At 39.7% G+C, this 14,778-nt stretch overlaps 1 long non-coding RNA gene across 12 annotated transcripts in view; it reads left to right on the top strand.

Moving 5' to 3' along the window:
* LOC389831 (uncharacterized) overlaps positions 1-14,154 on the top strand; it is a 43,798-nt gene extending 29,644 nt beyond the window's left edge. For 3 of the 12 annotated variants that reach the window (NR_187195.1, NR_187193.1, XR_009530071.1), the window contains 2 exons: positions 7,973-8,137; positions 12,169-14,154. This is a non-coding gene — a long non-coding RNA (uncharacterized LOC389831). Of the gene's footprint in view, positions 1-6,959; positions 7,214-7,609; positions 8,138-10,290 lie in introns of those variants that run through there. The other 9 variants (XR_009530076.1, XR_009530073.1, XR_009530074.1 and 6 more) reach the window with 6 other exon arrangements.
* The last annotated feature ends 624 nt before the right edge of the window (positions 14,155-14,778 follow it).

Here is a 14,778-nt window from a genome sequence, read left to right as displayed (position 1 = left end):
CAGGAGAATCAATTGAACCTGGGAGGCAAAGGTTCCAATAAGCCGAGATCACACCACTGCACTCCAGCCTGGGATACAAGAGTGAAACTGTGTCTCAAAAAAAAAAAAAAAAAAAAAAAAAGAAAGAAAGAAAGAAAGAAAAAAAACTTGAGAGTTACTATAATTTTTCTTCTATATTTGTGTTAAAATTGTAACCCCGGGCGTAACGCTATAAGGAGGTAGAAAGTAATTAACCCCTTAGGGTGGGACCCTCATAATACAGATTACTGGCTTTATACAAGAAACCGCAGAGGGCTCTCATCCTCCTGCAAAATGAGGGTAAAACCTGAAGTGTGCAGGCTGAAATTCAGAAGCCAGTCATCACCAGATCTCAACCATGCTGACACCCTGATCTCAAATTTGAACCTCTGGAGGTATGAGAAATTAAGTCCTGTTGTCTATATGCTGCCTATCTATGGTTCTTTGGCATAGCAGCCTGAACTAATACAAAAGGGATATCCTTTTCTGTGTTTCATTGGAGAGAAGCTGAATTTGTACCCCCTATACTGTTAAAAAAAAGACTTAAAAAATGGATCTTCAGAATGAAAGATAGGAAACGGCTTGTTGAAACACTAAAATTTTAACTGCTATAAGTTTTTTAAACATTGGCTGAAATTGTTGGAACCAATATGGCCAACTGAAGTCCATGAAGCATCAGTTTGCAGACTTTGGAGCCCAAATTTCCATTGTGTGCTTCATACTAACTCTCCCTGAATTTGTATGTGACCTGTGAGGAAACAAGAAGAGATGACTGTATATGTCTCATGACTTTCCATATTCCTACTTTCCTTCCAGCAATCCCCTACAGAACCCACCTATTAGGCCTTTTCTAATCACTGCCTTAAAGCCAGTATGACAAAACAAATTTGATTTGAACTCCTATCTCCTTGTTAGCCAACATACAAGATGATATTTTCCTCAAAACCGAAGGGCCATAGTACTGGCATCAGGAAGTATTCCATTTTATTCAATAAAAAACTGAGTCACTCAATACCTAGTACTGGGAGACTTTGTGAAGACTTCCTCTGTCATAGATGTGATAAGGCACATGGAAATGATTCTAAATATAAAGAGAAAGCACTAGAAAGTTGAATTCCTGTATTAGATCATTCTCATACTGCAATGATGGAGTACCTGAGACTGGGTAACTTATAAAGTAAAGAAGTTTAATTGACTCACATTTCCACATAATTGTGGGGGCACCTCAGAAACCTTCCAATTACAGTGGCTGACAAGTGAAGTGAGTGAGAGCATGGGATGTACCAGATGCTTATGAAACTATCAGATCTCGTGAGAACTCACTATCACAAGAACAGCATGAGGAGAACCCGTCCCCATAATCCAATCATCTCCCCTCAGGTTTTCCCTTAACACCTAGGGGTTATAATACACAATGAGTTTTGGGTGGGGACGCACAGCTAAACTATATGAATGCCAGAGGACAGTATCTACATTTAATTTCAACTTCATACTGGAGCAGAATGAAAATGAGGCCCAGTGGAGAAGTGATATTTCCAAGATCACCCTGGCAGACACCAGGCCTGTTTGAGTTGTGGCCCATGCTACCTCCCACCTATTCTCCTAATGCTTCCATCTCTAAGTGTGTGCATTATCTACAGGTGACACTACATCATTATTTTTATGTCTTATCTTTTTTTTTTTTTTTTTTTTTTTTGAGACGGAGTCTCGCTCTGTCGCCCAGGCCGGACTGCGGACTGCAGTGGCGCAATCTCGGCTCACGGCAAGCTCCGCTTCCCGGGTTCACGCCATTCTCCTGCCTCAGCCTCCCGAGTAGCTGGGACTACAGGCGCCCGCCACCGAACCCGGCTAATTTTTTGTATTTTTAGTAGAGACGGGGTTTCACCTTGTTAGCCAGGATGGTCTCGATCTCCTGACCTCATGATCCACCCGCCTCGGCCTCCCAAAGTGCTGGGATTACAGGCGTGAGCCACCGCGCCCGGCCACTGTCTTATCTTATATACACCTAACACATTCCCTAGGAAGTAGATGTTAGCATCATCACCACTGTGCATGTTAGGAGGCTGGGGAAGCCTTGAATACAGTGACTTTTACTGGGTCCCAGAGATGGTAAGAAAAACAAAGTTATGTTCCAGCTGTCTCTTCTCTCCTGGAACCCAGGTTGCATTTAGGTCTTTCCAGGGAATTAAGGGGAAGTTGTGTTTGCATAATTGTGTACAAATAAAGAGTTGACATGGAAGAGGAGACTGAGCAATCAGTAGCATAGTGGGGCCTTTCGGTATGTCTTACAGAAACATAGGGCCCAGTAGATGGAACCTTGAAGAGTTTAACACACTTTCTTGGTGTCAGAACCCAACAGCAGTTAAGAAACCAGGAATCCACATTCTTGAGACAGCTCTGTATCCACCTCTGTTTGTGAGAGTTGCTCAAGAGAGTGAGATGCTCTTTCATTGTGCCCTGAAATTTCTGAGTTTCAGCCTTACAAAGGCTCAATGTAAAAGTCTTATCTGATAACACAGATGTCAACTGAGCCCTCATCACTGATGTCCCTGGCTATTGGCCGGGTGCACCTACAAATAACACAGGGCAGCCCAGGACAGGCCCCTCCAAGCCAGCCTCTCTTGTCAACTCATCTGGGCAGTCCCACACCACTTCTTAGTACCATGAGTTGGATGGGGAGCAAGAGGGAGGGCACTCTTCTTGGACTGAAGTAGATTGTCGGGTGTTGGAACTCTTGTGTACCTGTCATGTTCATACCTAGGCCATAGCTGGCAGAATAAAAAGAAGAGGGTTGGAGAATGAGTCTGTGTACTCAGATGTGAATTCCAAGACTTTAACTTGTCCTCTGGTTTCCTTCCTTCATGGAGATTTATACAGATTCTCCTTATGTGCCTTATCTGAAGAGCAGAATTTCTTTTATTTTCTTTTTTCTTTTTTCCTTTCTTCTTTTCTCTTTTCTTTTCTTTCTTTCTTTCTTCTTTCTTTCTTTTTTTTCTTTCTCTTTCTTTCTTTCCATCTCTCTCTTTCTTTCTTTCTTTCCTTCTCTCTCTCTTTCTTTTTTATTTATCATGAAGTCTCACTCTGTTACCCAGGCTGGAGTGCAGAGAAAAGCAGAATTTCTAATGGAGGTGTCACATACGGTCAAAGCAAGGCAGAACACAGACTTTTCTTTGCGTGGTTTCTAGGCACATTTACAAAGCTGCATTCAGATTGATGAGGAGCTTCATCATTCAGTTTAATGTGGCCAACTCCTCCCTCTTTTTGGAAAAAGAGCAGGTGCACTAAACCAGCAAACACAGCCAGCACTGGGCTGTGCTGAGAGCAGCCACATAGGGGTCTCTACAGACAGAAACCCGAGAAGACCGGGAAAGAACCAGGACCCAGACTCAAATATGAAAAATCTCTGGGCTTTGTCCTACGGCCTTCCCATGAGTAACTCATAGCCTTGTTCCAGTGGAATCTGGCCTTCACTAGTCTCAGTGGCAATTTGGTTATGTGGAAAGTCTCTCTTCACACACTTGTGCGAATAACGATAAAGAATTTTGTATTGTTTTCACTCTACATTAGACCATGAGTATTTATGCCTGTGGCTGCAGTTTGTATTAGTTTCCGGCCCCAGGTATCTCCTGCAGCATGCAGCTTCAGTCCTATCGGACCCTCAAAACTTAAAAGCTAACACTATTACTAGGGAGGATTTCGCAGGAAAATGGTGAGAGGGTTACACACAAAAAAGGTTAAACTACTCTATGCATGTTTCTGCAATGTGTTATCTCAGGAACTCATTTCTGTAGCCCATCAGGGCAGGAGCTGGGCTCTCACCTGTTGATAATATTCCATAAGGGAGGTTCTTCCCCACAGTGTTTAGTCTTCCAACGCTGGTACAGCCTGACATGATGACATTCTACTTTCATGTCGGTCATGCTGCAGGGAAAATTCTGTGAGTGTCCTAATAGGCTGGAATCATTTGCTAGGGTGAACCCCATCTTTGGTGCTCACTTTTCTGTTATCTTGTAATTAGCTTTATTCTCAGCAAATCCATGTCTATTTTATTTATCTGTTTATTTACTTATTTTTATGTATGGAAAAACACTTTTTTTTATTTACTTATTTATTTAGAGACAGGGTCTCCGTCTGTTACCCAAGCTGGAGTACAGTGGTAGAGTGCTGTGATCATGGCTCATTGCAGCTTCAAACTCTTGGGCTCAAATGATTCTCTCACCTCAGCCTCCTGTGCCACCATGCCCTGCTAGTTGATTTTAATTTTTTATAAAGAAGGAGACTCATTAGGCAGCCCAGGCTGGTCTCAAACTCCTGGGCCCAAGCAATTCTCTCATCTCAGCCTCCCAAAGCACTGGGATTAAAAACATGAGCCACTGTACTGAGCTGTGTCTACTTCAAAAGACTGAAAATAAAAAATCAATAAATCTTTGCCAAATTAAAAAACAAAACAATAGTTTCCAGGTCTTAGACAAAGACAATTCTGTGTCATGAAGGTGGCAAAAGGCTTATTTAGCTGTTAAAATGATTTGCTTATATTTCAAAGAAGCAGAGAAAAAAAGATACATATAAAAGTTTTCCAGGCCAGGCACGGCTGTTCATGCCTGTAATCCCAACATTTGGGGAGGCCAAGGCAGGAGGATCTCTTGAAGCCAAATGTTTGAGTCCAGTACAGGCAACATGGTGAAATTCTGTCACCATAAAAAAATAAATAAAATAAATATGGCTGGGCATGGTGGTTCACGCTTGTAATACCAGCACTTTGGGAGTCGGAGGCAGGTGGATAATGAGGTCAGGGTTCGAGACCAGCCTGGCCAAAATGGTGAAACCCTTTCTCTCCTAAAAATAATAACAATAAAAAATCAGCCAGGCATGGTGCTGTGCGCCTGTAATGCCAGCTACTCAAAAGGTTGAAGCAAGAGAATTGCTTGAACCTGGGAGGCGGAGGTTGCATTGAGCTAAGATCATGCCACTACACTCTAGCCTGACCCACAGAGCAAGACACTGTCTTGAATAAATAAATAAATAAATAAATAAATAAATAAATAAATAAATAAAGTTAGCCAGGCCTGGAGGTGCATGCCTATAGTCCTAGGTAATTAAGAGGTTGAGGCAGGAGGACTGCTCAAACCCAAGAAGTTAAGGTTATAGTGAGCTATGATTATGCCATTGCACTTCAGACTAAGCAAAAGAGTAAGATTCCATCTCAAAAAATTACTAAAAAAAGTTCTCTAAATTACATTGTTTAAGAAAAGGGAAAAGAAAAAATATCTTTTTTAATTTTCAAATGGGAGGATAGAGCCTCTCATTTCTAATATGTATTTCCTTCTGCAAAAACATGGCCTAGGCCCATGGTCTTGAACTACTGGACATCTGAATTTTAGTAGGTGCTGGATTCAGGCAACTGAGGGGTGGCTTGGACACACTAAGTGCACGTAAATAAAAGGTTTGAGGTGAACTAAAAGGTAAAAGAGGGGAAGGTGCTATTAAGAACCCACAATTGGGAGACATTACAGGGTTGGTGGAAGGACTGGTTCATGCTACAGATACTGACCCAGGTGAAACTTTACTCTGACTTATTTCTGTGTCCATGCAGGAAGACGAGATTATGATCAGGTGGCACAGAAACCTGGGATGGTGAAAAAACCAGGTTGCCCCTGCAGATTCGGTGTCTGAGGTAGAGCATATGCCAGGGGTCTTGTAGGCACGTGTGTGGGTTTTTGGTGGGAAAGTCTATGAGGATAGGTAGCATGGGCCACAATCTTTATGCCGAAGCCCTGTGCTGGGAGGGGCTTGACCACGTCAACATGCAGTGTGTATGTTCAGTGGGTGAAAAACATGTGGTGGCCTCAGGTTGGCAGGAGGGTAGAAGGCATCTGTTCTCAGAACTTCTTCCCTCAGAGTCGTCGGTCCTTCTTACCATGGGAGGATGCCTGGAACCACAGGGCAGTTCATGGTGTAGCAGCCTGTGTGCAGAGCAGAGCCTACCTTCCCCGAGACACCTGGAGTCTCTCTCCAGCAGAGGCCCCCACATTGTCTTTCTTTTTATGTTTTTGATCCTAAATGTGGAAAGTTCCCTGAAAACCCACTGATTCTCCAACACCCATTTGTTGCCCCAAAATTTAATTCTGACACAACTTAGAGTTCGCACAGACCCCACAAATTCAGGGCTCAGTCCCACATCACCTCTCTCACTGTAGAGGAGAGTTACACATCCCTGAAACCCATCTACACTTCTGAGCTACCTCCTATAAATCTGAGACTAGCATAAACCCCTTTTCAAGTTAAATAATTTGATAGAATTACTAAAAAGAAAACCTCAACAAATAACTGTAATTATATTTACTACTTTATTATAAAAATATAACTCAGAAACAGCCAAATGGAAGAGATGTCTAGGGCAAGGAACAGTTGTGGGTGAAGGTAATCCTGGAAATAGCTATATTTAAAGAAATTCCCCCATTCTTTGCATTCTCAAAGAACAGCTTAGTGAAGAGAAACGTGCTTCCCGTGATGACTTTGAGGATGCTCCCTGCTGTTTTTTTAACCTATCACAAAAATGGACACAGATTGCAAATTCCCATTTTTAAAAATGAACAACCATTCAGTAATTTAGTCTTCAGTGGTCAAAATAACATACTCTTTACAGAAACTTTGCTTGTTTCTCTTCTTCCAAACAGCCCCTGAACTTTGACTCACCCACAGCTTCAGCAAACCTACAACCCTTATTTATACGTAACCCTCCTAAGAACAGGCTGAGTTCAAGGTGAAACATTATCTTATCTGGGATCTCATTTTGCTACCCTCCATCCTGTGCTTCCTTTCCAACCTTCTTTGTAAACTTGTTTTCTCCTCCCTATGAAATAAGGCCTTTTTCCACCTAACCTTAGAGATACTCAAAGATCTAATCATTTGTACTTTTTCTTTGTTGCAATACTTCTTAGGTAACTTCTTAGACCAAGTCTAGAAACAGTCTGAGGACAATAACAATTCCATTCTAAAAAGAATCTCCCAACATTTCTTCTATCTCTACCTCAACTGCATCTGCCTGTGAACTTCCAGCTTACCAAGGCTCTATATCTTCTGGCAGTGACAAAGGCTCCTTCCATGATTGGTGTGAGTAGGCTTGGACACCTGCAGGGCAGACACCCAGGAATAATCAACTGAGCCTTCAGTGGTCCTCTTTTGCTGGGTCAAGGTGGGCCTTAGCTTTTAGTCGATGGTCTAAGACTTCTACTTACCAGTTAGTCATTCAGTTAGTTTTCAATTCAAAAAATACTTCATGTTTGAAGAATCCAGCAAAAATTATTCAAATCTAAGGTATAAAAGAGAGGAAATTACAGCCGGGCATTGTGACTCATGCCTGTAATCCCTGCATTTTGGGAGGCCTAGGTGGGCAGATGACCTGAGATCAGGAGTTTGAGACCAGCCTGACCAACATGAAGAAACCCCGTCTCTACTAAAAATACAAAATTATCCAGGTGTGGTGTTGTATGCCTGTAATCCTAGCTACTCGGGAGGCCGAGGCAGGAGAATCGCTTGAAACCAGGAGGTGGAGGTTACAGTGAGCAGATGTCTTGCCATTGTACTCCAGTCTGGGCAACAAGAGTGAAACTACATCTAAAAAATAACAGAATAAAATAAAATAAAAACATTATAAGGGGCTTATATCTTATAATTCATCAAGAAAAGCCAAAGTATCTATCCCTTTCAGAAAATAAACATGTAATTTAATTATGTTCATAACAAATCATTTAGTAAACAATTAATCATATGTGAACACTTCCAGGAGGCGCAAAGTCCCAGCTCCTAAAACTTAACATTACCCTCAAACACCCAGATGGCAGCATATGGAATAGAGTTATTCACTTTCACAAGTTCTCTCTTTTGAAAAAAAGAATAACTTATGTGATAAATTTATGTAATTTGACAATTAATCTACCTCATGTGCTTGCAGATATGTATTCATTTCCTACCACCGTAGTGGAAGAGATACTATCCCTATCTTTACAACTGATAGCATTTCCAACAGTAAGCTGTGAGATTCTGCTTGAAATCACCTCTCAAACAAATAAAAAACAGACCTGGGAGACATGCTACGCTCATTCTGCTGAAGAAATAGGTAAGTAACAATTTTTAACAAATGAAATATATTACTACTTAATTTTATTCAAAATTCACCAACTTAATGTGCTTTATAAATATTCTCATACCTTTGAAGCTCTACTGATAAAACATAATTTACAGTTAATGAAAAAGTGAAGTTAAAATAAATACAATCATATTTTCAAGGTGACAAAATTAGAAGGTGACAATGCTGATTGAAACACAGACATATCTGACCCAAGGGTCAAGTCAAGCCGTTCTATTACTTGGGATATTTTCCCTGCTCCTATCTGGTTCAGTGATGTGGGTCATGAGCGTCCTACCAGGAGCTGCTACGCTCTGCTCCACTGTGTCTGTAAGGTGCATTTTACTTTGCAGGTTTTTGCACTGCCTCACTAGGTTGGGTTTCTTTATCCTTTGAAATATTTTCTCTCCCTTCACCAATCTGAGGACATTTTTTCCTCAATATCAGCATCCAGTTGCCTGGCCTGCAATGTGTCTCTAAGGAATGGAAACTAAGCGTTGGGGTAAGAAATTCTTAATGTCCTAAGAGGTTTGCTTTTAACGCAAAGGTATACGTGGAGATTCCTTCCAGGTATAGTGCATCCAACCACTCCAAAAAGAGGCTGCATTCCCATACCTTGGGCTGTTCCCTGAGAGGAGATGACACAAGGGATGCTATTTACTAGACACTTCAAGAGTCATGGCCAGTGTTGGTATCTTGGGGATTCTCAAGCAGTTTTGAAACCCAAAACCAAGAAAATAACACAGGATGGCTGAGGATGTATTGCCCTGTGAGGTTTCTGAAATGAAACCTCAACCCAAAGACATTCTGATGGGGTGTCTGTGCCAAGGCAAGATTAAAGAAAGGGGCACAAATATTTTCTTTTCTTTTCTTTTCTTTTTTTTTTTACTGTGGATTGTCAGGGGATTATTATCTGCTTTCATGTCCTGTAAAATGTTTACAAATGAAAAATATTTTTTTAAGTGCCATCCACTGCTTTTTGAAAAAATGCAGAATTAAAATACTATGTCTAAAATGTACAATAAAGAACAGTTGATAATGTTGTGAGTTACACAAGGTTAGTTAGTGTTGGTAAGTGTCAGGAAAGAACTGGAAATTTAAACTCTGACTGCAAGCAAGAGTTAGGCTGGGGTAACAGGGTGGTAGATTTGAGGCTCTTCTTGCCACACATTTGGAAAATGCATGAGAAAATGAATTCTTTTTTGGAGCATTAAAACAACTAAAAAACAGGCAATTGCATTGAGGTGGCTCTAGTGTACTGACCTCTGAGTGGAGAGACAGGCAAAGGCATCCCTAGATCCAAAAAGCTGCCCATTCTTCTCCAGCTGTGCACCTGATTAGATAATTTCCACTCCAGCACCCGTGACTGGATATAGTTCAATTCCCCACCAAGCCCCCTCAGGCCATGAGTGACATATGTGATTTGACACTGGATTGAATAAAGCAAGAATTATAGGTTTTTCCTGGATCCTTTTCTGGCAGGGCTTCCTTCATGCACTGGACACTGGCCCTGCCTGTAAAATACTTGCATTTTCATTTGTGTGTAAGATTATTTGTATTTATGAAAAATATATATGTGTTATTCATACATGGAAGCAATATAATGACAATTATTTTAAAATTTCAGATTTTTTACTTCCTGGCACATCCAGGTTTTAGAGCAGGCAGCCTGAGATTTCAAAAATGAGGCAATTCTCTAAGAAATAATATGTGAGGCACATGTGAATTTTAAATATTCTAGTAGCTACATTTTAATAAATACACCAGGCATGGTTGCCTGTGCCTGTAGGTTGAAATGTTTGGGAGACTGATGTGGGAGGATCATTTGAGGCAAGGAGTTTGAGACTAGCCCATGCAGCATAGAGAAAGCCATCTCAACAACAACAACAAAAAAAAAAATTGAAAAATTAGCCATGCCTGGTGTATGCCTTCAGTCCCAGCTACTCAGAAGGCTGGAGCTGGAGGATCACCTGAGCCTGGGAGGTCAAGGCTGCAGTGAGCCATGATCACACCACTGCACTCCAGCCTCACTGACAGAACAAAACTCTGACTCAAAAAACTGATCTCTGGAAAGGCATTTTCTTTTTCTGTAACGTAGCCAAATAGCTAAATTTGTATTGAAGCCATCCTTTAATTTTTAACAGGGCAAGAATATTTTCTAAGACCCTGAACTCCAGATATGTGATGGGGCAAATCCTGAAGCGTACATGGCTATCTCTCACAGCTAAAGCATCCCTCACCCCTATCCAGCGCTTCTTACCCCTGGCGCAAGAGAATCACCTGCGGGGAGGAAAACTTTCAAAATCCCTTAAACCCAAGTTGTAACCGCACAACTAAATCAGAATCCTTGGAGCTGGATCTGAAAAAAATACGGTTGAAAGTTGTGCAGGTGATTACAATGTGTAGGCAAGCCAGAAAACCATGGCTTTAACGAGCAGCTTTTGTTAGAAATGATTTCTCAAATGAATGTAAAAACGTTTGCTGCTGAATTGTGACCTTTCAATTTTACCTGCTTTTCCTGCAAAGTATATTTTGCAGACCCAGGCTGGCTTCTCCTTCTGTTCATGGTTCACCCAGTGCCGTGTGTGCTCAGTGCATCCTGTGCACGGGTCACTGTGCTGTGTGCGCTGGCCTGGGTGAGCATCATTCTTCGGGGAGAACCTTTCTGAAAACAAAGCTGCAATCCAAAAAGTTAAAACCATGCTACTTACTGTACTGAGGTAAAAATTAAAAGACCTAGGGGACTCTTCCAAAAGTTAAAACGTAAATAAATATCTTGGAACATTAATATACACCTGACGATGTCCTGAGAGAACACGCCCCACTTTAAAACAAAACAAAACATTACTATTATTCTAAAATATTAATTTAGGATTGTTATGCAAATATGTACTATTTAAATATTTATTGATGAATAACTTGCATACAGCAATATAGGAACAAAATATTTATGGAATGCTTGATGAATTATTACTAAATAAATACACTTGTGTATGTAAGAATCAGATTTGCTCATGCCCTTGACACTTTCTCCTTCCCAAAGGTAACCAAGACCTTAAGAGCTAAGTGTAGATAAACTTTGTCATTTTCTACACGTGTTTTATTACAGAACATTAAAAACGTATACATAATACAAAAAAAAGATAACAGACCAGTCACCCAGATTTAACAGCTGCTAGTCATGTGTCATTTTTGTTTCACCTATACTTCCAGCCATTCCCACCCCAGTTTCATTATTTTTTAGCCTTTTTGGATAAAATGTATATTCATTGCAAGGTACAATGTGAACTGTGAATAGTAGAGAGATGGGGTTTCACCATGTTGACCATGCTAGTCTTGAACTCCTGTCCTCAGGTGATCCACCTGCTTCGCCTTCCCAAATTGCTGGGATTACAGGCATAAGCCAATATACTCAGCCTGAGAATTCATACTTCTAAGAAAGTACAAATCCATAGGGCACATGAGAACTGCAATGTCTATCTACAGTAAATACAGTTTGATAAATAAAATGAAAGGCAATTGACCTAAGGTGAAAAAAAAAACAAAAAACAATCAAAGCATGGGTACTATGTGTCATCTGTAGGAGCATTTGGTTAAGAATAACAAACAAACCAGTTTTATTGTTTTAATAGCCGAAATTGGCAAAATTTCTAGTTTTTCTTTCATAGGAATGCTCTTTGCAAGAAAAAATTTTCATATAGTGAGAGCAAAAATGGCAACCATTTGCAAGTAAATGTCTTATGAAATTAAGTAGCAGATATCAAGCTCATGACCTTCAGATAGTTACCCCTAACTCAATCACTTACATAGCAAGTGCAGATAATTTTCATAGCTCCCTATTAAAATTATATTTGAATGCCCTTACAAATTGTGACTGTTTTTAAATAAAGTTGACCAAATAAAATTTTGTATATGACATATGATAAATTCCCCTTCAAGTCACCTTACATTTACTTAATTTTATTAGGCAGTGTCTGTCTACCACCCAATAATACTTGACGATTCTCCCTCCATTTGCACAGGCATCATAGCTGGGAAACGGATTCACAAGACCCAGGCTGTTCCCTACATATGTTTCCTCCTCCGACATCAGTTCATCAGTCAATCAAGCCATGTGAGAGTGGAGGCCTTGTATTCCCTATTATTCTTGGGCACTCTACTCCAAGTAGGAAAAGGCCAGGAGGTCCTGTTAAAGGATGCACTCAGAGCCCGGGCTCCCTAACATATGAGAGTGCTAACCAGCAGGTGTAGACTTTTCAGGAGTGAAGAATGAGGCAGGCATTCCAAACCTGGACCTTCATCACCTTTTGTTTCATCTCAAGACAATTCTGAGGGACTGTTTTGGAGCGTGTCTGGAAGGTGAACCTTGAAGAAGAGTGTGGGTTTTGATGTGACTCAGTTGAGATCTTTCATGGGGAGGCAGGAATTCAATGCCCAGAATCTGGGCTGGTGTCTTTGAGGTCAGTAGGTTGCGTCTTTGTATCCAAGTCCATTGTTACTAGGTTGGAGGCTGGAGATTCTAAATGGCTTCCAGACCATCTCTCTGATTCTCTTTGGGAGATGGGGTCTGAAAGACAATGTCAGTAGTTTTGGGAAATTCTAGAAAGTGTGCTTGGAAACGTGGGAAGAGCTCTTGCCTAGTGCCTAAATGCTCCATTTGCAGCTCTAGCCAAGTAGATACTTGGTAGGTATAGAGCCGGGTTTGCGTTTATATTAGCAAAACCTATGTCAGAGTTGAAGAAGTAGTCAGGAAAAAGCGTCTTGGTCGCAGGCCGGGGAACATCTTAAAAGCAAACTTCTAGCCTGCTGACTCTTGGCAATGAGTGTTGGATCCTGGCTAAAGTGCCTTGAATGCAGCATGAGGCCAATCCATGAATCCAACTTCTCATGGAGAAATGTTAATATTTTTTCAGTTTGAATCAATCAGGGTGAAACTACCATGCTATTGGTTTGCTTACTTTTTATTATTTCATGTAAAATCTAAGACAAAATACATTAAATGCTTATTGACATATGTATTTATTCTTCACCAGGCTGATAATATCTGCCTAATTTTAAACTTTCTTCCATTTTGTAGGTTTCAACTTATTCTATTGTAAGATACTGTTAAATCTAATAGAGGCATTGTCACTTTTACGTATAATTTTATTTTATTTCATATATTTCCTATTGGTTTTTTACATTTAAATTATGGAGCACTTCATCATATAAAAAACTTCAATTATATTTAAACAGTAAGTCTTTGGATTTTTTTGCCTTTTAATTTCCATATTACATAATAATGAGATAAACATTAATGTTTTCAGGGTACTTTAAATTTTAGATAATTACTCATTGTATTCATGTGAAATTTGTTTTTACTGCATGTGTGGGTTGGAGGACGGTTTTCACTTCTGATTCATCTTTACTCTTATCTCATCAGAGCTCATACCTCTTGTAGTTGGGGGATTGCAGTTTATAATTCCAATAAATGGGGCAAATTCAATAATAACATAATACAAATGAGTTTGAATGCAGGACAGGTCTTCAAAGCATACACAACATGGGCCTACATATGTACAACAATAATAATTTATAAGTTACTGTTTGGATGGAAAGTAAAAGTACAGAAAATTTGTTAAAGGAAATTAAAATGGAGATCATGTCTCAATAATCTCTGAGCAGACAAAATTAGTTAGGTCTCATAAGTGATCTCAACCTCGCTTGATTTGCAAATACAAACAAAACTTACATTATTTCTTGTAGCTGCATATTGAAAAAAGAGAAATGAAGCTCAACCAGTCAGAAGTAGCCAACAACCTTATATAAATAGAAACTGTCCAACAAGGTAAACAGACAAACAAAAAACAATAAAAAAAGTTGTGCTACCACCAAATGATTTCTTTGTTTCTACATTTTTCAAATAAATACTTGCTTCTTACACTGTCAATGAAGCACTCAATATCTTTCCGTCTGATATTTTATAATTTATCAATTGCTCTTACTCAAATAAACACTTTGCAATTTCATTGTGTCTCAAATTACTTTTTAGCAGAATAAACTAGGAATAAATATTACAAAAATATCTACGGAATATGGAAAAAACATAGAAAGTTTATGAAATATATGAATGTAGACATAAGCAAATAGACAATTTGTATCATATTCTTAGGCAGAAAAACTCAATATTATCAACATCAATTGTCCTTATAGTTATTTATAAATTCAATTTTGTTCCTATACTGATACCATTAAATATTGCAAGTACACGTTACTATAAAATGTTATATAGATGAAAACACAAACAAGAATAGACAAGAAAACTCTGAAAAAAAAAAAAAAACCCACTGGCAAGCCCTGCGTAAAATCTTGATTGATTAAAAAACTCATGGATCACTGAAACTAAAAATTCAGAAATAAACCAAAGTGTCTAAGAAAGTGTCATAGTGCATCTTGGCTGCTATAACAAAATACCTTAGACTGGGTAAAGGATAAATAAGAGAAATGTATTTTTCACAGTTATGGAGTCTGGAAAGTGCAAGATCAAGGCAGCAGCAAATTTCGTATATGGTGAGAGCCCTATTCCCCATAGATGGTACCATCTCGCACATGGGACAAGGGCATTCCCTTCAACTTCCTTTGAAAGAGCACTG

The sequence above is a fragment of the Homo sapiens genome, unplaced genomic scaffold, assembly GCF_000001405.40.
Source record: "Homo sapiens unplaced genomic scaffold, GRCh38.p14 Primary Assembly HSCHRUN_RANDOM_CTG1".
Lineage (NCBI taxonomy): Eukaryota > Metazoa > Chordata > Mammalia > Primates > Hominidae > Homo > Homo sapiens.
The sequence above is the reverse complement of the archived record's forward strand: the minus strand, read 5'-3'. Positions and strand labels throughout refer to the sequence as shown.